This window comes from Homo sapiens, chromosome 3 (genome assembly GCF_000001405.40).
Source record: "Homo sapiens chromosome 3, GRCh38.p14 Primary Assembly".
Taxonomy (NCBI): Eukaryota; Metazoa; Chordata; class Mammalia; order Primates; family Hominidae; genus Homo; species Homo sapiens.
Window position 1 is genome coordinate 30,825,128 of NC_000003.12, and position 26,995 is coordinate 30,852,122.

The 26,995-nt window shown below is 37.7% G+C and overlaps 1 protein-coding gene across 3 annotated transcripts in view; it reads right to left on the reverse strand.

Annotated features, from left to right (window-relative positions):
- The window catches only part of GADL1 (glutamate decarboxylase like 1), a 168,465-nt gene that overhangs the window by 98,931 nt on the left and 42,539 nt on the right, over positions 1-26,995 (reverse strand). For all 3 annotated transcript variants that reach the window (NM_207359.3, XM_017006297.2, XM_047448071.1), the window contains exons 5-11: positions 25,708-25,814; positions 24,869-24,984; positions 19,260-19,339; positions 19,083-19,137; positions 13,870-13,986; positions 9,090-9,154; positions 8,726-8,807 (exon numbers count right to left, since the gene is read on the reverse strand). In NM_207359.3, the coding sequence (NP_997242.2) occupies positions 8,726-8,807; positions 9,090-9,154; positions 13,870-13,986; positions 19,083-19,137; positions 19,260-19,339; positions 24,869-24,984; positions 25,708-25,814 (622 nt within the window). The remainder of the gene's footprint in view (positions 1-8,725; positions 8,808-9,089; positions 9,155-13,869; positions 13,987-19,082; positions 19,138-19,259; positions 19,340-24,868; positions 24,985-25,707; positions 25,815-26,995) is intronic.

The following is a 26,995-nucleotide window of genomic DNA, read 5'->3' on the forward strand; positions in this document are numbered from 1 at the left end:
TTGTGAATTATATGCAGTTTCACATCTTGGAAGCAGGAGATTCAAGACCAGGGTACCACTTTTATTTTCTGATATTTTTTCTGTGGGCATTGGGATCCCTACTTAAAAAATAAGCTTGCTATTTTAGAGTTTTTATTTTTCTGCCCAAATCATTATTTATTATATGCCACCAACAATTTCTGAACAAATTAGGGTTTAAATACAATTACTAAAAGTTTATATAAAATCTATTTTCAACTTCTGAGCTACTTACAAAATTAGAACACTTATTCACATGGACTTGGATTAACACTTTGAATCACTATGGAACAACACATTCAGCAAAAAATTGACTCCCTGTAATCTTTTGCCCATGAAGCAACAAAGCTAGAAAGCCTAATTAGAATTATCAGGTATGTTTTAAGATATCTTCCTTGGAAACCAATATGACAACTAAAATTCTGCAAAGAAAAACAAATAGAATGATTTATTCCAAGAACTCAAAAGGGCCTCAACTATCATATCAGAGTAGCGATAAAAGAGAAGGCCTTAACTTGCACAGGAACAGAAAACCAACGCTGCAGGTTCTCACTAATAAGTGGGAGATAAACAATGAGAACCCATGGACACAGGGAGCGGGGAATATCACACACCAGGGCCTGTCCTCAGGTGGGGAACAAGGGGAGGGAGAGCATTACAACAAATACCTAACACATGCAAGGTTTAAAACCTAGATGATGGGTTGATAGGTGCAGCAAAGCACCACAGCACATGTATACCTATATAACAAATCTGCATGCTTAGCACATGTATCCCAGAACTTAAAAATAGAAGGCCTTGTTGCCGTGAGTTAATAATAAAATAAAAGGCAAAAAAGGCAGATACTTGGAATCCATTAAAAAATAGTAAAACCAAATTCTAGCCTACCTGAAGCAGGCACAGCATGCTTATTATGGCATAAATTTTTCTTTTACGTTCATTCCAGGCTTGTTTTATTCCTTTAATCTTATGTCTCTTCCTTTCTTAGATTTTAATTTATGTAATCTTTGTGTTGTGGGACCCTAATCAGTTTTGTTTCAAGCTGAGATGGAAAACATTTAGTGTGTAAATAGAATCCTCTCTCTGGGATATTTTTCAACTGCTGGTCTTTATCAAATTAAAGATGACAAAAGGACACAAAGGCAGAATTTCATATTTTTCTTTCTGGTTATTTTTTAGCAAATCTGAAGTCCTCTGTGATGACTGGCAGAGAAGCAAAGGTTGGCGTTCCATACTGAAACAGGCTGGCTGCCAAGATGAGTGAATTCTTTACCTGGGAAGGGCATTAGAGAGATATCTACACCCTCAGGGTTCTGCACAAATAGGCAGAAAATATAAAATCCAATAATAGGCAAAACCCCAACTCATCTAAGCCAAACTGACAAAATAAATGTAGTTTAATCAGTAAGACCAGGTGGCAGCCACCCAAGAGTTTTGAAGGAACTCAAGGATGAAATTGGGAGACCGTTGGCCAAGATGCTGGATCCAACATTATAAACAGCCATTTCCAGCAAACTGGCAGATTGTGAATGTCATTCTGTTCATTAGAAGGGGTCAAGAGAGGACCCAGGGAGCCTTAGAAAAGCAAGTATCTCTTCTACTTGTCCAGTCTCCAATAAAAGACAGCATCATTAGATACTAAAACAAAAATAACTTCCTAGGGGAAAGACAATATGGTTTTCTGAAAAAGGAAACCATGAGTCACTGATTTATTATTGGTCTCTGAGGCATGTAGATAAAAGGCCAAATGCTGGCACAACCCAGAGTCAAGATTTTTAAAGTGCCAACGTGGGATGGGATGAGAGAAGGTAATGGCTACATCAAGCCATATGGATAAGACAAACAATTTCCATACCCCTTCAAAAAATTTCCTATGTATTTTCCAAAGCAAGAAGGGTCATGCTTTGAGACTTGAAAGATCAGGATGCATGATAAAGGACATACTACTTCACATTGTGGGTAAAAAATTTAAAACACATTGCCATTTGGTGGTATTGGAAATAGATACAGATTTAGTCACTTCAGGAAACATTTTTTAATTGAGAATTAACTGAGGCTTGGGTTTTATACTCAGTAGTAGAGCGATAGTGGTGAGTGAGACCCATTCTGTCCTCAAGTAGCTCCCAGTGTACTACACAGATGATTCTAAGACCTGTGCCCAGTTCAAGCCCTGCATTAGGACCAGTACACATTTATGACTAGGTGGTAACTGATGATTGAGATCAGATAGTACAATCACAATTACATAACAAATCTCTTGGGGCCACAGTCAGCAATAGAAGCAATATACTGAGCTGTATGGGGCATGGATCTAAAGCAAAATGCAAATTCCCTTGTTAAAATGAATGGCAATGGTAATACCAACAAATCCTAAAAATGTTATTGGTTTGTTTGGTGGAGAAATAGATAATGGATTCTGAACACATGAGGCTCTAACATTATTATCCCTTTACCTTATAGAGAAAGAAAGCAGAAATGACAGAGGTGTTTGTGATTACTGATGAAATCGTTTTTTAACGTGATGCACCTACAAAGCTTTGTGGAAAGAAAATTACCCGTTGCTTATTATAATTTTAAAAATACAAGAATTAAGAGTATTTATCAATCAGGAATTGAATGAATTCTCTCTGTTTGATTTCTCAACTTTGCCAAAAGGTCTGGGAAGAATTTTCTGAGCTCAAGCAAGAACAGCCCAGACACAGAGAATGATTTTGGCAGCACGAAGCACAAGAGATTGATCTCTCTCCTACAAGTCAAATGCTTCTCTTTTCTAATCAGTTTTAAACACCTACCTTCCCCTTTTTCTGCTACATTAGCTGGTAGGCTGTCATTCTAAAGAAATTTATAATGTACCTGTACAGAAAAAGTGTGAGTGTTCCCTGGCAGGAGAGAAAATTTCTTTGATCAGATTGTTCAGTATTTTCAAACCATCTAATGGCATTTCCATAGGAGCTCTATGAAGAAAAGCAAGAGCTAGAAAAGAAATCCCCACAAAAGCAGATTCAGTTTGTTCTAGTTTCTCTGATTTAAAAGAAAAATGTACTTTCTTTCCTTTTTCTCTTTACTTGCACACTTTTTAACTGGCATGTAATAATTGTCATTTGTAATATCAATCATTCAGAACAGAAACGAAAATGGGGCTAAGTAACCTGCTTCTCAGGTATATTTTCCAGCAAAAATTCTGTCTTTTCCTGGTGACCACACTGGGAAATGACATTAGTCTCCTTTTTTTTTCCTTTACGTTGTACTATGTGGCTCAGCACATCCTCAATAACTATGTGTTGAATGACTATCCCACTCTTTTTTCTGCTACTCCTTCTCCAAAAATAAAAGTGGGGGGGGTGCGGGGGAGGGTCTATATTCCAAGCCTCCTCTAGAATGAAGATGAAAGGAAAGGAAAAGCATTGCAAGCTTATCTCCAAGCCCTCACATTTAAAACCTAGGCAATTTACAATTGTGTGTCAATACACTGAGCCAAAGATCCCTGAGAAGGAGGTATAAAATGTCAATAGATAAAATTAGAAGGAAAATGTTTGCATCTATGTCATTAAGTGTACAAATGTCTTGCCTATCAAATTGACAAAACTATGCCTGTGATGTCAAAGGTTAGAACACAGACGTATGCATGTACACACATATGCACATATATACTCTACTCTGCTCATGAGAATGTAAATGCTTTTGAAGAAAGATTAGGAAACCTGAATTTAAAAAGCATTATGAAAGCTAACTATTGCTCTTCCACTTCTATAGGGATTTATGCTAAAGGAATACTAAAGAGGAATCATTTATACTTAAAAGGCCATCTGATTAGCATGTTTCATGTTCTCATACCTGTTGAGTTTTTTTTAAACTAAAAAATCTGTCTCATAAACACTAAAAATCAAAAATCTGATACTGACATTTTTCTCCATCTATGCAACTGATTCTTAGAATATATTGCCTTTTATTTTAGATCAAAGCATCAAAACTGTCTTTGATCCAAAACAGCCACGCAAATCCCGCATTTACCTCTGAAGTCAACCTATTTATAATCACAGGTTTTTTTTAAAATCCCTGATTTTCTTTTTATTCCTGTGATTCTTTTTATTCCTGTGATTCAAAGAGGATTAGTGATAGTACAACTTTGAGAGCATCAGCTGTGCTTTGTTCCTGAAGCAGTCCTATTTACTAACACAGGAAATTAAAAATGCAAAAACTACCAGTCAATCAGGAAATCAGCATTGTGGATGTCAGGGCTTTGTAGGTACAAATTGGGGAATTAGTTTTTTCCATGAACAGCAGTATATTTACTAAGTAATTTCTTTTAAACTAGAGTTATCCTTTTACATCAACAGAAGAACCAATTAGAATCACTATTCATCAATTATTGTCCTAACACAAGCCTTGTGTTAGGACCTAGGCAATAGAGCTTATCAACTAATCAACTATAATTTTAATCATTGTATCTTGGAGTTTTCAAAAGGAATAATTTGGGGTAAGGGAAAAATTCAAATTCTTAGTTACTGCTGACATGAAGGCAGATACTTCTGAGGATGATTAATGTATTTAATCAACCATTCAGTTTTTAAATAGATATTAGTGGGTTTTTTTTCCCCTTTTTAGTGAATACTTGCTAGGCACTGACAACACAGTGGTGAATATAATGACATTCTTTCTCCTCATGTAGCTTCCATTCTAGTGGGAGAGAATATTACATGAAAAATCATAATTACAAATAGTAATTATACACACTATTATGCAAATAGTAACTATATAAGCACTTTAAAGGAGAGGAACAGAGTCTGAGAAACAACACTGGGGAGGTGCCAGTTTATCTTGGTAAGTCTGGGGACTCTTCAAAGAAGAGGGTGACAATAAGCTGTGGCATGAAGGATGAAAATCATTCACATGCCTCACATTTTGTATGGCTCAGAACACAGTTATCCAAAATATGGCACCTTGGAGGTCACTCTCTGATCTCCTCTCACCTTTCTTCCCTGAAACATGGTCATAAATAATTATTTGACCTACCTCCCCTAAAAGGAGGCTGTTAAGAACCTCATTCTGGAGGGGTCCTACCCTATGCCTGGAAGTCGAGAAGACTGGACAAACAGGCCCTGCAAAGTCCCCCCCTGCCAGCTTATGACCATACTTCTGCATGATTGTCCAGAAAAATATAGTTTTCCCTGGGCCTTTGGATCTTCATCTCTGAAGGTTCTTGTTTCACAAAAAATTTTGGTTAAATAAGTTTGTTATGCTTTTCTTTTGTCAATGTCTTTCGTTATGGGGAAGTCAGCCATGAACCTTGCAAATTGGGGTAAGGAAAAGAGATGACTTTTTCTTTCTTACATGTTCTTCCCTGTCTGGTTAGCATCACTCTTTCTGGTCTTCCCACCATCTCCCTGGCCATTCTGACTCAGCCTTCATGGGGAATCCTTCCTCCTCTATCTAATCTCTCAATGCTAAAGTTTTTCAGGGCTAAGTTCTAGGCCTTATTTTCTTCTAATTCCAAAGATCCTCCCAAGGCATCTATAACCCATTCCTATGACCTCAGATATCATCTATGTGTTAACAATTCTGTAATAGACTTTACCAGTCCAGACTTCTTTTCTTAGATTTGGGTCCATATGCCAACTTCCTATGTGACTTCCTCACTTGAATATACCTCTTAAGAACCTCAAATTTACTATGAGCAGCACTAAAAGGTGTTTCACTCTCAACTCTTTCCTCCAGTGATCTTCATCTTCCTAAATGGAATCATTCGTTCAGTTGCTGTATCAGTAATCAGGATGATTACATGACACCTGCTTCTCTCTCATCTCCCATAATTGATAATTGATAATAATTGATAATTGAGCCCTGTCTAATTGATAGCTAAAATGTATAGTGAATTTCACATTTTCCCATCTCTCTTGCCATCAACTCTGGCATAGATACTGCAAGCCTTTTTCTTAGTCTTCCATCTATTCTTGTTCCCCTCCAATTCATTGTCCTAAATGAAAATTTTTTCCAATAACTCTTTTAGTTCTTCTGTTGTTCTAAAGATCAAGTCTAAAATCATCACAATGGTCTCTAAGACCCTTCATGATCTACCCACTGCTTAATCCTTTAGTCTCATATTATGTCAATCTTCACATTATTCTCTATGCCTCAGCCAAAATACGCTTTTTTCAGTTTCTAAAATAATTTTTTTTAAAAAGGGCGTTCCTTTCTTAAAGAATTTTCACATGATGTTCCTTCCACCTGAGACATCACCTGCTGTGTATTACTGAAGTACTATACTCTTCTCTGTATTAGACAAGGGTGCATTTGGCTGCAACTAACAGATTACCCAATGGAGATGGTTTCAGTAGTAAGAACATTTAATTTTAACCACTTGATATCGCAAAGTCTGAAAGGAGTCACGTTTTGGGGGTGCAACATTTCAAAATTACCCCAAACCAAGACTTTCCCTTTGTTTCTGTCATTCTGTGCATATTAATTTTTTAAATTTAGGGTAATTGCCTTATGGTAACAACCCGTATATCATGTCTGATGCAACTGCATTCAAGGTAGAAAAATGCGAGAAGAATGCTCTCGTATAAAATTATTCTCAAGGTCCTCACCACATTTCCCTACATCACATTAGACATAACTATGTCATAGAAACTGCAGGGGAGGCTAGTTAGGTGAATATTGGGAGATAGGCAAGAAGAGAAGGAGGCTGGAATGCCTGTTGATTTTTACAATCAACAGAGTCTGACATTTGTTAGTGCACTTATCAAAACAGCAGTTAAAAAATTAAATATCTGCATTTTGTTCATTGTCTTCCCTGTGAGATTATAAACTCTTTGACTCTGGGGAATATGTCTGTCTGATTCAATGCTATAAGAGCCTAGACTCGCACAGTGTCAAGCCTACACAGATCATTTATGCTGATTGATGGAATGAATTAATGATATGGAAGAGAGTAACAGAGGCAGAAACCAGGTACAAAAGAGATAGAAAACTGCCAACACAAAACTTAAACTGATTGCCACATCTCATATCTCATGGTTTAGCTTTCCTATTCCATTTAAATTGAAAACGGTCTTTTCATTAAAAAAAAAATTGGCAACTTTTTGAAAGTGCTCAGTTCTTTGCACAGTGAATAGAATTCCCCTAACCTCTTAATTCATGCCATGAAAATAGACATGGGTTTTATTGTCACTAAGATTCAGGAATGAATTCTTTAAAAAAAAAAAAAACCCTGTTAAGGAGTTATATGATCCAGAAAAATTTAAATTGCCTCAAGTACAGAAATGTAATTCAGTTGTTGTCTAAATTACTCAAATATCAGTTAATAAGAAAAGTATATGAAAGCTAGAAAGTTACTTAAGAGTAGTCATAAAATTTTTAGTCTAAGTTCTCCACTCCTTAGCATATCACACCAACAGATAAGTTTGTCAGATTGGCCGATTTAGGTAGAAAGCAAATGTAAAATACCTCACTCATAAAGGATGCTTGATACATTTTTGTTCTTATACCTAGACCAAAAGAAAACTTGGGTTTATTCCTATCTCTGTCCCATCCTAAATGTGTACCTATGGGCAAGTTGATTACGTTCTTTGGTTCACAATCAATATGGTAATCTTAAACTACCTTTTAGTTACAAATAGTCATACCACAATTTTGAAACTTAAATTTAAAAATTAAATGGTATTGAATACATTCAACTCTATCCAACCTAATAAAACATTAAGGAACTGATTCATATTTCTGGTAGTGTCTATTTCTATAGAAGCAAAACCTGTTCCTAGTTTCTGATGGACAGTCTGATCATGTCAAAACGCACAGGGCACTAACATAAATATCACAATTTCTTTAAAAAGTTGTAAATAGCTACACATGCAAGACTAGGTTTCAAGTTTTAAAAATAGTTTTCATTTCAAATAAAATTCCTTAAAAACAGAAAATGACTTTAACATTGGCAAAGGGAGTCCCCTAAGAAAAAAATGTAAACAGATGGCTGAGAAAGATCACCCACATGCTGAACACAGATCTTGAGGAGGCATTTCTAAGAATGAAGTAGCACTTCCCAGCCTGGGCCACTTCCCACAAGGATCCTTATTTAACCCATGGAAAACACAGAGTTTATACCTCCGGCCAAGAGGAGCCTCAACTTTTTTTCCACTTGCCTCACAGTGATCCAGACAGTTTCCAACTCTCCCTAGCATTCCAAAAGAAGCTAAGTACCAACCACTTGGGATGAGCAATCCCCTAATAAATTAGTGTTCGAAGATCAGCCCTGAACAAATGTCTTCCCATATAAACGGGCTGTTAAGCCCTAGCTAAGCGTATTAAGTATTCAATTTAATGTATGACACACATCTGTTCCACTTTCTCAGTGAGCAGAAGTTTCAAGATAACTTAAATCCCAGACTTAATCAAGGAGAAAAAAATCTTGGCAATGTTTAAAACTGAGTTTTAAAATATAATCCAAATGATGGTGAGAGAGAGACCATTTTGCTGTAACTAATGAGATTATATAATACCTAAATCAAATCCACAAAATTACCTGAGCAGAATCACTAAATATTTTATCTAGGCTTATTTGTCTTTCATGTAGAGACCATCAACACATTTCCCAAACACCTTCAATTTACGCCTCGCCCAAGTCACCAAGAGATGAGCAAAAATGAAGCCCTTGGCAAGCACAGTGGCTTAACCCCCTTGAAGCCCAAAGGACCACAAGAGGAAAACTTACAGATTTGTCTTTCACAAGGAGAGCACAGCACTGGATCCCAGCCATCAGCATCTTGTGTGGGTTCCAGGCCACAGAGTCAGCCCTATTGTTTAAACAAAGGGACAGAGTAGGGAGAGGACTCAATTAGTTTCTACAGGCAATGGAATACTATCATTATCAATATCTGCATTCAGTACTCATACATAGTTTACTGTTCTATAGAACTCCTTATCTGAGTGGTTTAAGGAATTTGGAGGGATTTTTTGTTGTTGTTTATTTAAGGAAAACAATTACTTTGTTTTTTCCTATTTTCAAAATATCACTTAGTCCAAAGAGATCCCTTTGCCTGACAAAAGTTGGCTGTACACCAGGAAACTACATTTACCTGTGGATGCCATGCAGAAGCTTGCGGTGCTTCCTCGACATCAAAGCTGAGCCACCCCAAGAAGCCTGTTGAGATATTTACAGTACCAGAACAATGTTATTTCAATGTTATTTGTTTACCAGTGGGTTGTCATAGAAAACCCTCAGTGAGGACCTCAATCTGCATTATTTGATATTTTATGTCATGTTAACTAATTTGTACCCCAGGAAATTCTGATCACTGGCTCTACTCAGGCAACCAGAACCTCATCACAATAGATGGGCCCTCACTGACCCTTAGAATTATAAATTCATGCATCATAAATTGGTATATTAACCAACTGAGCTATGTGTGGATGGAAGAGGTTCAAAGTCCATGCCCTCTTGAAGCTTAGACTCTAACATAGACAACATCTTCACAATGCTAACATTTTGCTATTCAGTGTATGATGAGACATGGGCTAAGGACTAGTATTTTATATAATGAATGAGGCATATTATTGACAAGGTAGATAGAAGGCCAACTAGGATGAGCTAGGCGGAAATATCTGTTAATGAAAAATTAGATCATTTTAGCTAAATGGCTTTCAGAAATATCTACAAATGAGAGAGAGGGCAAGCTTGGGACAAAAGGAAGTTATCCACTGGAGAAGTAAATTTTGTGAGCAAAGGAGAGGGGAGCTCAGATAAAATCCCATAGTCAACAGGTCTGGAGCAAAGGGAGAAAAATTGATGTAAGAAATACAAAAGTCAGTATGCTTCTTGAAAATGGTGCAGACATAAATTTTAATTTGTAGGACATTAAAGGATAACTGTATTGAGAGAATTTGAAGGGACTAGCTTGGGCTGTATTGAATGCTTTCCAAGTTGATTTAAACCTTACAGCATTCCATTAGGAATGGAGTTATGATCACTTCCACTTTTTATAAAGTTCAGAGGTGTTCAGGTAAATTGTCCAAGGTCTCGCCAATGACAAAAATCAGATCTGAGATTCAAAGCCCATTCTCCTGTCATGTTAACATCATTACTTAAGGAAGGTGACAATTTGGCCAAACTGGGGAGTATAGCATGTAGAATGAGGGTGACAGAGATGCTTTAGGCAATAGGTAAGTTCAGGGGTTGCTTAGGATGTAGCAACTTCTATTTTTGGCTATGGAATTTAAAGGCATAGGTAGACCTTAATATCATGTAAAAAGAAGTGGCATGGTTGGCTGCACCACAGATATGGAAGATAAAGAAAATGAAGTATCTCCACGATCCTCAGAGTATTACAAAATTTGGGCCCATTGGTAGCCAATAACAAGAAAGTACAGCACAAGCAACTTTGTGGCCTTAAATCCCACTTAAAAACAACTTTCATTGACAGCTGAGACTAGGGTGAAGTGAATGAGTCAGGGTGCATAATTCAAGGAAGAACTCATCTCAGAGCTGGACTCTTGCAAGGCCCTAAGAGTGAATGCTTCTTAAAATTTGAGCCCTGCCAACCCCACTGGCCTCATATTAGCACCAGCCTTGTCCCATGGACTAAAGGCTCCATCAACTCCATGGGGTCCCCAGAGGCCTGCGAGCTCTGATGTGTTTCAAGGGTGTTGGGTGTTCAAATCCCAAGGATTCCCAGGTAAAGAGTTAGTAACTTGGCATTATCAGTCAAATTCCCTTCCTGCTGCATTTCCTCCCTTACTTGGATTCACAATGGACCACGTGTGACTCAGGCTGAGCCACAAAGGCAAATGCCCTCAGCATCTAGGAAAATTTTATCCCCAGCCTACAACTGAGGATCTCCAGATCTGGATTTTGAGAACTTGGTCCTTGCAAATATTAAGATGTGTTACATATCACATTTTTCTTGACTTTCATTACATATTCTAAATCCTAAATTACCTACTTTTCTCACTTCTCTTATCCCCCAACCTCTCTGAGAACCTATCAGTGACAACTACAGGAAGGATTAATTAGTCCAGTCAGCCACACCTGTTTGCTCGCTCACACTTTCCACCTGCCTCATACCCTACACTTCTACTCCTTCATGCTCCCTGAGCTAGCCTCTGCCTCCACTGCTTCTCCAAAAAGGTAAATAATCTCCCAATTCTAGTGAACTGGATTTAAGTTTTGAAATCACAGGAACCCTTCCAAGGCATTAGTTCACCACTTCACAAAGTACTTTGGCAGGGTTAGGAACAGCTCATCCATAAATTTATTCCTTAAAAAAAAAAAAACACCCCTGATGTAAATGCCCTACTTTAATTTGCTGCACTCTAATTCCTAACTCCAGAAACTGTGAAATTATCAAACCTATCACCTAAATGATGGAGTTTGGCTTTCCATCTCAATAAAGACTGTCATTTATTAAGCTATTACTATATGTGAGGCACCACAGTATATCATTTTATATATATTTGTCTTTAATTAGTTAATAAATTAATAGTAGAACCAATCTTGAAAGGGAAGTGAAGGTAAGAATGGAATTGAGATTTGGCAGCCTCTAAAGGCCATGATTTTAAATACGTTTGTGCCTTCTATGGCACTTGGAATGAGGAATGGGTGAGAGAATAGGAAGCTTTGTTGGGAATGAGAGGCTTTCCAGCAGCTACAACCTCTGATTTTGAAGAAGAGCTAGACCAGCCCGACGTTTTGTTCTCAGACAGAAACTAGCATAACAATTGCCCTCATGAAGGAAGAGAACAGTACTGGAGTGAAAGAGTCTAATAAAACTAGTTTTTCTTATTCGGTTGTTTAAAAAACGCATTATATTACCAAATTGAAGACAGTATCAAATGTAAGCACCCCCATTTTTTGTGTACTACTAATAAAAATTGACATCAAAATATCAATTTCAGAGTTAAAATTTTTTTAAGTAAGTGCATCTTAGAATTAATAAAACATGGTATGTATGCAGAGCAGCATGGTTTTACTGAAAACCCAGAAGAACAAGTAAATGTCTTTTTATTTTTAAAAAGAGATAAACATCAGTTTAATATTTGAAAGAAGCTTTAAAATACTCTAGAAGATTTCAAACAGGTCAAAGCAATTATTGCAATTTGTTAATATTTTCTTTAATAAAGTACCTATGGCATATGAAGTTTCTTCAAGATAAGCTACATGTTCCTGTAGTAATATTTTATTGATTTGACACCCACAATACTAAAGGATGGGTAAACATGTCTTTAATAAGCCAGATAGGCTTGTGTCAAATTTAATCTAATACTATAGGCATTTGCCAGATGTATACTATGCACAAATAGGATAATTTGGTGTGGTTTACATTCCCTTATAAAGATGTTTTCTTCAAAGACTCAACCTTTAATTTTTAGAAAACCTGAAGAGCTTTTCATTCATAAATCACAATTTTCTCTAAGCCCCATAAATCTCTTAATGTCATTCCCAATTTAAAAGCTGCTGTGGTGACTGTTTTACATAAACTATTTACTTTTCTCCATTTTATACAAACTACATAAACTATATAATCCATATGTGATGTTTCTTTTATGAGAGTACAATATTTAGGTAGAACTGCTGATGTATTTGATTTTCCCCCTTATTTCCACAGTTACAAAAATGCTCACTTCATATTATCTTTTAGGATATAATGTATTGTTATGCTTCTAAGTCTATAAAAATCAATAAGATATAAGTTGAAATATGAACAGATACAAATGCTAAAATCCCGTTAACGAGTCACGGATAATCTACCTCAAGTATTGCCATTGGCATACTAATAGAAGCAATAACTCTAGTAAACTTTATACTACTGTTGCTTTTACAAATGTTAGTATTCAGTTAATGTAAACTTTGAATCATATCACAGACACTCTACTAGGTGATATGATTTGATTGAAATAAACACTTTGAAAGCATAAAATCATCTAAACTACAAAATTATGTGGGTATATCCCCCCAAATGCTGTTTCCTTTTGTTCAGCAAGTCAAAAAATATTTCTTCTGCCAAGGAGGATCTGAAACTATCACTTACCAGAGGAAAGCTCCCAAAACACCATGTGCAATTGTCTCTTTGGTTAGAATCAAACTAATTAACTGCTGGTTTCACACAAAAAAAATTAATTTTAAAAAAGAAAATTAAAAAGCTCCACAAGTGTTCATAGTTGGCTGAATTCAGCATTCTAACCCGGGATAAGTAGAATTTTTAAAGTTACCTTCGATTTAAGGAAATATGTATTTTGAATAACCGCAGGACTTACAAAAATTCTTTTAAAAAGCCAATCCTTTGCTAGAAAATAATGGAGTATATTATCCCAACCCCCCTCAAATAACTATCTGATAGATCCAGAGAAAATTTGCTTTAGTTATAGCATGCAATTATGCATTGTAGCTTTTTTGCATTTTCCAGCTGTTTGGAATCATAATTTTAGAGCTAGAAAGATACCTTACAGCCCACATCTACCATCCCCCCTCTTTACAAATGAAGAAATTGAAATCCAAAAGGCTAAGATCGCAATGAAGAAGAGGCAGATCAGAATTTCAAACCAAAGTCTCTCGGCTCCCTAACCTAAAATGGGTGCCTTACACCAGGCTGCTTCAATGACAGTAGATTTGAGGACCAAAGATGGCTCATGGGAGTAAAAGAAGCAAAATGGAATCCAGAAAGCTAAAACAAAATATACACAAAGTCGTGGAATCTTCTCATTTATACTTTACAAGAAAGTGGCATACTTATTTCCCCCAATTTGAGACACAAACAAAAGCGTTGGGGACTCCACATCTAGTTTCTGAGAATAAGAAAAATTTCTACCAAGGCTACAAAAAGACCAAAGGTTAAACAGGTATGTACACATAAATGAACTTACATCTACATGAAGCCAGAGGCTGTGCCTCTCGCAGATGTCTGCTATTTCATCCAGAGGGTCAAAAGCTCCCAACACAGTTGTACCAGAAGTGGCACAGACAAGAAACGGTGCTGCCCCCTGTAAGAAGGATCCACACACACAAAATTATCACTGTCATCACTAAATTTGTCCTGTAATAGCTGGAAAATATAAAGGGTTATGCATCCAGAGAGTTATTTGGGTTTTTTGGAGGTAGTCATTAATTCAATGGGTGTTTTTAAATTTTGTGAATATGTGGCCTCTTGGCATTATAAACAGATTAAGGAAACAGAAAATGCTATGGCAATAGCATTTTCTGTCCCAACTCAGTACATCTTCAGTATTATTCTCATGTTTTTTGTAATGTTTTGTTCTATCAATTGTCCAGATAGAAATTTAATAACTTCAGCTGCAACAGCAAACTGACATTTTGTATGACTCCTAATTTCTTCCTGAAAAAATACATTTAGCCTCCATTGTGCCATCATTGTCATCTTCTCAAAAAAAAAAAAAGGTTGGAAGACAGAGCTCCCGGAGTAAACCATGCAGGCCTGTTTGCTCATCTCCTTGTAAAGTAAGTGCAGTTATAAAACAAAGAATGTAGAATATTCTCAGGTACAAATTCAGCATCAGAGGAGATAAGGCAACCTCACTGGGATACATTCTCCAAAATAGGTGCTGCAACAGAGAAATCCATTGGCATGTGCTGGAAAAGAAAATCTGTGTCACTTCTATCATGGTTATTCCTCCTCATATAGCTGATGACTGCATCTTGTGGCATGAACGGGTACTGGTGGGAAATAGAGAAGAAAAGGGAGAATGTGGGTGCACACAAACAGATGAATGGTTATCTCGGTCAAGCTAGTCACATGCTTTGTCCCCATTAAAGGACTCTATGCCAATCAGATAGATGAAGAGTACATGAGATTGTTTCCAAATGGATTGCTCCAGGATGGTGGTAGAGATGTGTTGCTCGCTGTGTAGGTGAAGTTTGCAGACAAATGTGGGGGTGAGGGGAGCAAGTAGAATATTAAGATTCTAGAGCACCTGAGAAATAGACAAGAATATTTACTGCCTCTGAAAGTTTAGTGCCTCTAAAAGTTATTTTTTTCTCCATTTAGCATGGAGCCATTTTTTCCCCTCAGTTTTATAAAGTGCATGCTCATTGCAATACATTTTTATGTCCTTTAATGCCAGGGATTATTGTGTTTGAACCAACTCTTTCCAATTTAACCGACTTTTGACAGAAAGATGTTATTTCTCAATGGAAAGTGGGGCAGAGCAAGAATATGTGGTTCGCCTCTCTAAACTGAGATGCATACGGATCAAAGTGGTGGTATATAACAAATCCATTTGCCATCTTGGGAGACAGCTGTGGCAAATAGAATCAATCCCATCTACCCAAAACTTTTAGAGCCAAGTCAGTAGGTGACAGAGCCCTGGAGAAACCAGAGGCTTTGAAACTTCTTCCCTGTATTCAAACTACTGACAACTATGGCTTTATCATACCAGTGACCTAAAGGACATAAGACCAGCTTTACACCAATCATTAAAATCATTAAAAGCAATAGAAAAATAATTTACTAAAACCATTTAAGTTGTCTTTAATGGTTGCGCTTTTCCTCATAAACTATATGACATCCTGACAGTCATGAGAAAATACATTTGCAAGCTATTATAGCCTATTAATGAGTTTTCCTCACCTTTAAAAAAAGATCTCATTAAAAATACAGGACCAGAAATTAAACTTTTGCGATCTGGATTTAACCTAGACTTTCTTCCCCATATCTCCTGCTGTTAATGAGAATTCAGTAGAAACAGTATTGATGGCATGCTGCCAGTGAGCTGTATTGTCTAAGAAAATTTGTCATTTCTAACACAACTCTAACAAAATGTCTCTAAATATTCAATGTTCATCCTAGTTTGAGCTTGTCAGTAAGCCCTTTAGGACCTCTGATGCTTTGTGTTTTTCACCATCTATGTAATGACATCAAGACAAGGTCACTGCAACAGTTTTTCAATGGATTGTCATAGGCCAGGGAGTTGAATCCCAGCAGAAAAAATAGTTGATGGTACTATTCCTCATATCTGAAACAACATAAGTTAAAAGCTTGAAACAAAACAACTAGGCCTGAAGCTACTGAGAAAAAATGAACCAGTCATCATGTATTATTATCTCAGAATGGATGCAAGGTTTGTCCTTGGTGAATCCAGGCTCAAGTATTAGCTGACTTGAAAGAAAACTGAGGAGACGTACTAACTCTAACCCCATTGCCCTACTTTTAAATGTGCCTAAAGCAATTTTTACTTTTCAAAAACTTACTTTTTTGAGTTCTCAACTTTAGTATTATGTCCGTTTCATGTACTTTCACTGTCAAAACAAAAATTTGAGCGACAAAAATGATAATGACTGTGGTGGAATAAAACCCTCTATGCTAGAAACATGAATTCCTAATGACACTAAAAAAAAATGGGGATTATCTTTAGGGGATGCTAGGCAACAAACTCACTATTTTAAAAATTGATAAATAAGGGGAAAGAATAAGACGTTTATCCTGTCTTGCCTGTGCAGTGTTTCCTTAGGGAAACAAAATGAGGAGGAATATTTTTCTTTATAGTAGAATGCCTGACAATAAAGAAGGAAGGAGAGAAGGAATTAGGACATCACTTAATGAAATAATGGGTCTAGACAATGATCATCAATGGCAGCAAAAACCACTAAGTGAGAAGCTGATGGAGTGGAGGGTATTGTGATGGATGGACTGACGATACCAGACCCCACCAATCAATGTTATTACAAAAGAGACACAGGATGTCTCCTGATGGCAGGAGCCAATGAAGCCTCCCTGGTTTTAAAAAAAGAAAAATACAACTTAAATCTCATTGAGTCTCAAGATCTAACTGCCAAATTACAGAAAATATAAAGAACAAACCGGATGGTGCAGAGGAGGTGAGCACTTAGGGTCTCAAATTCTTGATGTAATCCACAAAAATCTATAATGTGGAAAGCTATATGGGACAAAAGACCTGATCTTTTCAACAAATCAATGGTAGTGGGGGGAAAGAGGAGGAGGAGGAAGCTATAGATCAGAAAACATTTACATTTGACGTATCAACCAAATGCAATTTGTGAACTTTATTTGAATCCTTGATTCAGACAAGTCAACTATTTTTTTTAAAAGGGCAATGGGGAAATTTTAATATACACTGAAGATTTGATATTAAAAATTATATTTTAAACAAAACTATGGTATGTTGTTTAAGCAAGTACGTATCCTTCATAAATATACTCAACTATTTATAGATCAAATGGTATTATGTCTGGGGTTTGCTTCAAACCTATCTAGTGGTGGTATGAGGGTATGTGGTACAGATGAAATAGGAGCATGAGCCTAATGACTGCTGATTACAGAATGGGTATATGAAGCCTCATGATATTAGTCTCTTGGTTTTTGTGTGTTTTGGTTTTTTAGGAAACATTTACAATTTTTTGTAATGAGAAGTTTAAAATTTAAGAAGTGGGGAATAGGGAATGGAGAAAGGGAGGAAGGAAGGAGAAATGAGGGAGGGAAGAAAGACAATCATGACACAATTAATATTCCCCACCAACAAGCATTAACAACATAATGCAAATTATTTTTGATAGGAATTTATGTAAAAAGAAATGAAACTAAAACTAGAAAACAATATCTGTGGTTCTCAGCAGAACGAACTTACAAGTTGTTACTCAGAATTATACCAGAGTCAAAGAAATCTGATCATGCAAACCACCAGATAACAATAAAGTTCACTTGTCATTGGAATGTTTAAAAAAAAAAAAAAAAAAAAAGTAGGACACACACCTGAAGTCAATACATCTGCAATAATGGCAGAAATTTTAAATACAGAAGTTCAAGCCAAATATTGTGATCTAGCATTCTCCAGGACTAGGTAGTTTTTATGAAAACTTGAAAAAAAAAAGTACAACAACAGAACTATAATATTCAAACTTAAAAACATTAAAAAACCCATCCTTGTTAAAGTATGAACTCCTATGAGGATAGATACACTTGTATCCCAGCTCAGGAGCCAGGCTTTTTATTTTTCAGTAGTCATGCCTGCCTTTGTTGCTACCTATTGGAAGGTTATTGGAGAACGGTCTGAAGCTCCATCAGCAGGCAGCGGTGGGATGGGAGAGAAGCAGCAAATCTAGCAGGCTTTTGGTCCAAAAAGCAAAATGGCTGAGACCAAAATAATGATACACCTTTTTTTTTTTTTTTGAGATGGAGTCTTACTCTGTCTCTCAGGCTGGAGTGCAGTGGTGCGATTTCAGCTCACTGCAACTTCTGCCTCCTGGATTCAAGCGATTCTCCTGCCTCAGTCTCCCGACTAGCTGGGATTACAGGCATGCACCACCACGCCCGGCGAATATTTTGATATTGTTGGTAGTGACGGGGTTTCACTGTATTAGCCAGGATGGGCTAGATCTCCTGACCTCATAATCTGCCCGCCTCAGCCTCCCAAAGTGCTGGGATTACAGGCGTGAGCCACCGCGCCCGGCCTAATGACACCCCTTTTTAAAATGCAGGTGTTAAGGCCAGCCTTGGCTGGAGCACAGCAGGTGCCCAGAGCCATGCCTTGCCTTCTCCAATATTTCAGTTCTAATATATTCTAGCAGCTAAGGAAGAAAGGATGTTCTGTCACTGAACTACTAGATACAGACCCAACAGGGGTTGATAGTAATAGATGGGTTTGGGATTGGAAGCAACCTGGGAGAATAGGTTGGTCAAGAAATCAAAAATCACCCTGAATACAGCCCAGAGAAAATTGGTTTGTCCTGCAGATTTCTCAGAGGGAGGAATTATAAGGAGAGGAGAGGCTAGGGCCCTGCTGGAGAGGCTGGATTGATCCTTAGAGCTGCTTCTAGCCAAGAATCCTGAATACGGGTGATTTCAGTGTTTTAATAGTCTCCAGCCACCTGGGAACAAGAATATCCGGGAAACTCCACAGAACATGGAGAGCCAAGCACTTGGAAATAGAACATCTGTAAATGAGTTTTCCTATTTTAATTCCAACATTCTCTCTCCTCTCTCCCACACATAGAAATGGTTTTGGCTGTTTGCATTCTCTCCTTGCTATTCCCTCTCTTTCATAAGCGCGCGGGCGTGCGCGCACACACACACGTTCTCTCTCCCTCTCGCTTTCTCCCCTCTCACCTCTTTTCTGGCTTGCCAGACTTGCTTCTCCAGTTCCTCAGGTATCATTTTACCTCTAAGGGACAAAGATTTGAGACTTTCAGTTATGTTTAGTAATTAACAGATAATGATACTGCTTTATAAACCATATAAACTTTTCCCTCCACCCACCAGGCTTCCAGATCCTGTTCCCATTACCTTCCATCTGTTTCCACAAAGCAAACATTCTCAGTGCCAATCCCAAGAAAAGAGGCTGCCTTCTTCATAGAGTAATGACACTGAATTCAAAGGGACAGTGGGGAAGGGGGAGACATGAAAACATAGCACAAAAAAAGCATTGCTTATTATCAAAGGTAGATGAAAGTATGGCTGAGCACAATCTTTGGGACATTATTGCATAAAAAAGTAATTTAATTGAGCTCCTTAGCATAGTGGTTGAGAACATTCACTTTGGGGTCAGAGAAACCAGGATTGAACGTCAAGTATTCCAGTTACAGCTATGGAATCTTGAACAAATAATATACACTCTCCAAGCCTCAATTTCCTACTCTTTAAAGGGATCATGCCAATAATGCCTACTCCATCTGCTCGTGCTAGACAAAAATGGGTTAATAATATATGTAGAGGGCTTAGCACAGAGCCTGGCACATGGAACAAACTAGGACACCGGAGGCTGTTGTTTTCCATCCCATTGAGAAAAGTAAAGTTTCTCCTGATGCTCCTCATAAGACTTAGTATTAATGGAAACTTAGAATCTAGTCCACTGCTGACTTGAAACCCTCTAAGGAGAGGGCAAGACTCTATCTCAAAGATTGCAATCACAGGCTAGAGAGGAATCTAATTATTTCCTAGAGCAAACAATGAGTTATAAGTGCTGATCAGACACTTGACCAATCTTGTTTAATACTGAACACAAGACTGAAACACCCAAGAATGTGGCTAAAATCCTAAGAACAAAAGTAATAATAGACAAACTACTTTACTCAGCTATGGCATGAGTGAGGCTAATAGATGAATATGGAATTAAGTCTGGTCTATTTCTTATTGATAAATAGTAGTGTGTGCTTTACATTATTGGGCCTTCTCTATACTACATGAAGCCCATAAAATAATTAGCATGCAAACATTGGATATGTCGCTCTTCATACATTAGTGAGGACAGGTGGTCAATTAATTCTTTTTCTTGCCAGAAAAATGAAGGTGCTAAAGGACATTATTGTACCAAAAAAAAATCTTAGTAATTTGTAGGTATGAATACATTAAAAGAGTAGTCATGCCTTCACACTTCACTTGATATATTCCCTCAAATGTGGTAATTTTTTTCCTTTTGTCAGGAGAGTTTTATTGGGAGCTCTTTTTTTAACTCTGTAAAAATAAATGCAGAAGTAACATCAGGAAAAATGAAACCGTTCTAAATAATTAATTTCCAAATATCAAATAGGACATGTCCAAAATGCCTGTAGGATGCTTTTATTTCAGGTTGTTAAAAGACCATATGCATATTGAAGAGTAATAATGTACAAGAAAGTGTAATTAATTCTCTACTTGCTCCACCAGCCTATGCTGGCTGGCGGTAACCTGCCTGCCATAGCTAAGGTGACATAGCTCGGGTGAATTATTTCTCACCAGAGAGTTGAGCTCTGGCAACCAAACAGCTATTGATTTCATAATGATAAATGCTAGCCTACCCCACTGACATCTAACTATAAGGAAAAGCACAATGCTCTCCCCCTGAGAAATAGCAAAATATCTCCAACCAATGAATCTGCTGAATAAAAATCTTGTAATCAGAATTAGAAAAGTGGAGCTATCTTTAAGTACCTGAGGGCAAAATACAACCCAATGTCAATCTGAGATAGATAGATCAAAAAAAAAAAAAACAAAAAACTGCAAAACTGAAGTTTAAACATCTGAAAGCTTCAGAGAAGGAAGAGCCCTGGAAGGGAGAACAAAAGAAGGTGATGCTTCAGACATGCTGAGTAGTTTCAAGGAAAGGAAAAACCTAGAAGGCTGGAATTCAGAAGTAACAACTGCATTTAGAAACAAACAGTGGCGTTTCTATCATTGGCAAAAGATAAGTCAGTTGTTCTAAGACTCAACCTCCCCACAGGTTTCATAAATCTACAGAAGACGAAAAAAACTCTCAGCGGGTGTTCATTTCTATAAAGATAAAATAGCAAGTGCCTACATGAAAGAGAGCATTGAGCTGGAGTTTTACTTTCTGGCTCCCACAAGGATTTTTTTCTATGACCTTGAGCTTCTCAATGAACTGCTGCTTTCTCCTCAATGTACACTGTGCCCTGGACACCTGGACTCCAGTGCTGACTAATTTGATTCTCAAGTTAGCTGGTAGAGAGAACGGGGTATATAAATGTACACTGTGCCCTGGACTCCAGTGCTGACTAATTTGATTCTCAAGTTAGCTGGTAGAATGGGGTACATAAATGTTACATTTTAGAGAATGAACAAAAAGAGTGTCCAAGGGATGTCTCTAACAACACACAGCTGGTTTAATTCCCCAAGAGGCCAGAACCAGAAGCCAGATAGACTGAACCCAGCCTCATGCTCTGCAGGATGTCCTACGAAGCACCTGCTTGCCCGTGGAGAAGACCTGCAATCACATCCCATCGCAACTCAACCTCAGCCCTCACCCAGCAATCAGGAGGAAGAGAAAGAGGCACCTAGAGTGCAAAATTTAGAGGCATGACCCTGAGACACACCCTACATAACTCACTTGCCTCTCCTGGCCTAAGCCCTGCTAGAGAGGAGCTAGCCCATTGATTACTGGCCTGGGAGGTAAGGGTTTCTTTTTACCCTACTTTTTAGTGGCAAATCATAATTACTGCTTTATGCTAATTCCAGAAGTGATCTGAAATATACAGGAACTTTACAAACACGGGATTTCTATACACCCAAGAAATTTATATCAAAGTGCAAACCAAGACATAGATTTATTACTTTTATTTCTCCAAAAGTCCCCTTCTCTTAGATGCCTATTTAGCACTAGAGAGGCAACCTTGGATATATTGACAGTGCAAAGGTCTTTGTCATGACCTTGCAGGTCTTTATCAATAGTAAAATTACAATAAAAGCCTAACACATGCAAAAACACCTTCAGTGGTGGGTACGTATATTCTGCACTGGATGGTGCAAGATAGAAATGGAGTAATTTGGGGTAGCACAAAAACTGGAAAAGACTACCTAATATAACAGTACTGGGCCATGGACCAAACCCTTAAAAGAAAATAAGGGAGGTATAGCAAAAAGACTAACGCAGAGTTTAAGACTGTTTACTAAACACAACCTTCTTTAATTCTTTAATGAAATAGATGGATTTGTTGTAATAAGTAGTAAAGGCAGTCAATAAAATATGAATTAAAATAGTGCAAATGCTATAACCTGACTCTTTGAGTAGGGAAAGGAATGAGCTGCAAAGTAGTGTCTTGACCAATGGAGTCAAAATATAAATTCAAGGCTACAGTGTGCTCGAAGTGATGTAATTTTTCTGTGGAATTCACACCTAGTTCTTGGTTTTTCTGGCTCCAGCTTCTGCTGACATGTTAGCCAAGGCATATATTTTGCCTCTCTTTGGAAAGTTTTTAAAAACCACTTAGTTATGGTTTCACAACTACATAAGGTTTCAATTTCTTTTCACTCCCAATTCATAAGCCCCACCTGTTACTGATCTTTCCCAGGCGTAATCTCTGTTCTAGGCTTCCACGTAATATCTTTTCCCTTTCCATGGTAATTATTCCAGAAAAGAACTCCAGCAAGCTTTAAACCAAATGAAGAATGAAAAAGGCAAAAGTAAAAAACCTGAGCTGATAACCTGGGCGCTATTTAATCAGCTTTCCCAAGCTTGGAAATAGCAGTTTGAATGCAGAAGAGACTCTGCATTTATTATCCACTGGGGTCCCTCACATTGAAACATCCAGGGCTGAAGCATGAAGAAGGAAACTCTATTCAATAACAATCCCAAATAATCAAGTACTTTTTCCCAGCTGTCCACATTACCAAACATTCTTCTCTTGGTACAGAAGGAATGACTTATGAACAAGAGCCTCGAATGGCTGAGTTAAGAATCTCAGGCTAGATGATTCCTCCCAGTTGCCTCCTGTCACTCAACTCCCACTTTGCACTTAGTGCTGAAAGATCCAGAGCAAAGGTCAGAGTGAGAGGAAAACATGAGAGTGGTCATATTTTCTCCTACTGAGGAGAAATTAGTGCACAATTTGTCCTTTTGCAATAAGAAACTAACTTTTGTATTTAGAAGAAAATGATAGATACAGGAAAGCCTAGCTGGAAATAACAGACTCTCAGTTTTTTATTTTGTCCACTTCATGTTAGTGGCAGGATACCTGATATTATCTCAGAAGGTAAGAAGCTAAACTCATTCTGCCAAGAACCTGGGTGATGAAGCAGTGGTAGAATAGACGGAGGCATCCACTAGAATCACACAAGAATAGGAAAGGGAAAAAATCTCTTCCAATAAAGGCTGCACTTAAGCCGTGCCATCTACTTCTGCCCACCTTGTTGCAGCTGGAACATTCTCCTAGTAACAATTATAGTTAATATTTTAAAAAATCTATTATATCCCAGATGACACTTTACATGCAATTACTCATTTAACATTTGCCAAAACTCACTAATCAGCAACTACTGCGTGGTTGCTGGATTGTTCTAATGGTTCCAGTTGTTCTCTGTTCCGTGTATTCAAATCCTTTGCCTGGTGACTTTACAGCAAGTCCCCCCATGAGGTTGTGGGGTCTTTCTTCCCACATCTTGGGTCTGGGCTCACAGATGGGATTTTGCCAAGAAAATGAGGCAGAAGTAACAATGGCCAGTTCTGAGGCTAAGACTCAAGAGGCCTGATGTGTTGCCATGCCCTTTTATACCTGCACCATTGCCATGAGGACACACCTAGACTGACCTGATGGAGAATGAGAGACATAAGGAGCAGAGAGGCATCACTGGAATCATCCCAGCTGAGCCACTCGTAGATGGGCCATCAGCCAGCCAACCCCTAGACATGGAAGGGGGCCCAGCCAAGAGCAGCAAATCTGCCCAGCTATCTTGAGACTTATAAGTGATAATATACAGTTATAGAATGATAACTCTATATTTGGGGTGATTTGTTGGTTATAAAAGCTAAGTGATAAACTTATTTTTACAAATTTAGGAAACTGAGGCACAAAGAAATTAACTCACTCAAGGTTACTCAGACAGTAAGTGACAGAGGCAGGGACTGAATCCAGGCAGCCTAACTCAAAGCCTATGCGCTTATCTACTGTCTGACCCACCTACTTTAGTGGAGAGTAAAATAAGAGATGGAGAACTGTGGCAATATCTGTGTGTGTGTGTGTGTGTGTGTTTTCATTGTTACTGTATATCTTTCTTTTCCCTGGAAAAGTAAGATACACATCCCTTATATTAGCCAATCAAAGCAATCATTTTAAAAGGAAATGTGAGTAGAAGACATAGCTGAGATCCACAGTGTTCATCTAAGTACTAACAAATAAGACATTCAAAAAAAGAGATTCACAGAGATAGCACTTTCAAATTAAATATTCTTTTCTTAAAATGTTGTTACAGACTATAAATTTTAAATAAAGGTAATTATACAAAATTGGACCAGGCGTTACAACATCAAACTCGTTAGAATTTACTTTGGAATGAAATACTATGTTATACTGCAGCATATTAGTCACATGGGTATAGGACAAAATCACATCAGGAATCTTCAAACAAAGCCCTCTTAAATATGCTTTCTCAGAAAATCTATATTCAATACCAAAAATAATTTTTACCTCTGCAGATGTGAAAAGGATTAATCTTGGCGAACCAGACAGCCCCTTTTCCTTAATATCAGGACAATATTTGTATCTAGCTAAATTCATTGCATACATATTGGACACTGAGCCACCTGCAAAAACAAAATTAAAATGGCATATTTATAGCATGAAGTTATAGCTCGCAAAATGCTGAATACAGTGGAAAGCATGAATGGCCATGACTGCTCTAGTCTAATGAAAAATCACCGTGAAAAGCACATGAACACCGACCTCCCTGCTCCCATTATTCTGAATATTTTATTACATACCCTAATCTCTAATTCTAGAACTTTTATTCTTAGAAGATAAATTTTGGTTTATTCCCATGACAGGCTTTTTTTCAAACCAAAAGTCTCAATCTGTGAGCTCTGGACTTAGGGCCTTTACCTAGGTCTCCATAGTTAATATTCTTTGTCACCTAATCAATAAAATTGAAATAATATTTGTTGGTCTCTGGCTACAAAAAAGGACTACAGGATAAACAAATGTAATTCAGAAATCTTCTCAAGTAAAATTTGATTTTAAAATTTAGAGGACTTACAGCCCTTCCAAACTTCCAGCATCAAATCGATTCATTTGTGTTAGATATAAATCCTAAACTGTAGGCACCTCATTCATTAAGTATGTATGTCATCTATTTAGCATTAATACAAAATATTATCACTCTGGAGAAAGGCATAAGCTAGATTCTCAGCAAGTAGAATTATTAATATCCAACTTTTTGTCGTGTATAAATCTGCAAGGAGTTGTTCCTCATGGATAAATTTTTACGTGGTTGTATTGGAAGGTTGATATCAATAACTAATTGTACTCACCTGGGTTAAATATTCCATCCCCTTCTTTCCAGCCAATAAATTCAATCATTTTCTTCAGAACCGCTTCTTCCACTAACAGAAACACTGGGGACACCTCATACGTATAACTAGATAGATATAAAAAACACTTCACTTCTATGACTAGAGTCAAAACATTCCTTTGGTGTCCCAAGAAATGCACAGAGTTCTATTAAACCAAGTGGCTGCTGAAGTGTAGGCAGTCTTTGGAAATTTATCCATTGAAAATAGAGAATTACTCCATCAGTGACAGCACTAGTCATGGTTAGATAAATGCCAATAGCTTGTGGCCTCAGGGATCTGCAAGTTGCTGCAGCAGTCTTTCGAGAAAAACCTCAATTCCGTGAGGAGCAATAAAGGCAATGCATTTGCGTGCTATGTATTAGCCATGAGCAGTGGCCATTTCACTCTGTGGATGCTTGGAACACTGACTTGGATGCTGTTGATGGTCAAAGAAAATCCATTGTCATGGTAACCAAGTTTTATCAGATTACTGCCATGAGTATGCTAACAGTCCCCTCTAGATATTCTAAGTGGAGACTACTCCACCTGAACCAGGGCTTCCTCTACTACACTCTCTGTGTCTGTATAAATGAGGAGTGTTTTGTGAGACATCTCTTATGTGATAATTTTACTGCAAAGCACTACCCAAATCCCTTGTCAATGAAGGATGTGTTGCTCCGGGCTGGAACGCTGTTGTCAGAGCATTGATGTTTTAGCCCCTTTAGAGATTGCCTTGGCTGCAGGGAGCTACCTCCTCCAGGGTCACACCCATTCTTGTGGTGGTCTACACCTGATAACTGCTGGAGATGTAAAGGCCTAGCCGTCTGGGCCTAACTCCAGACCCCTCTTGAAGGGCCACTGTAGTTCCAGAGATCTCCGAGCGTCAGCCAAGATTGTCATGGAGCCTGCGTGGCAATTTGACTCCTATACTTGCCCTTTCTTGCATCCTCCTCCTCCTTCCCCAGGTCGTCACTCATGTTGATCCCAAGGGTACTCCTTAATAAACGTCCCACTCACTAAACACCATCTAGAGCAGCATTCTTGGGAACCCACATTGTAACAGTCACCATGCCTTGTTTGATATTTATTTTCTCTCTCCAGACAACTTGAGGGTGACTACATATCTATGATCTCCTTTTCAATTGAGGGATTACATTAAATTGTATCTGAATAAATGTGTACTCTAAATATGTAAGTTAAGCAGACACATTTAGATTTATAGTCACAGAATTTAATGCAATTATTTTAACATCTGGAAAGGAAAACT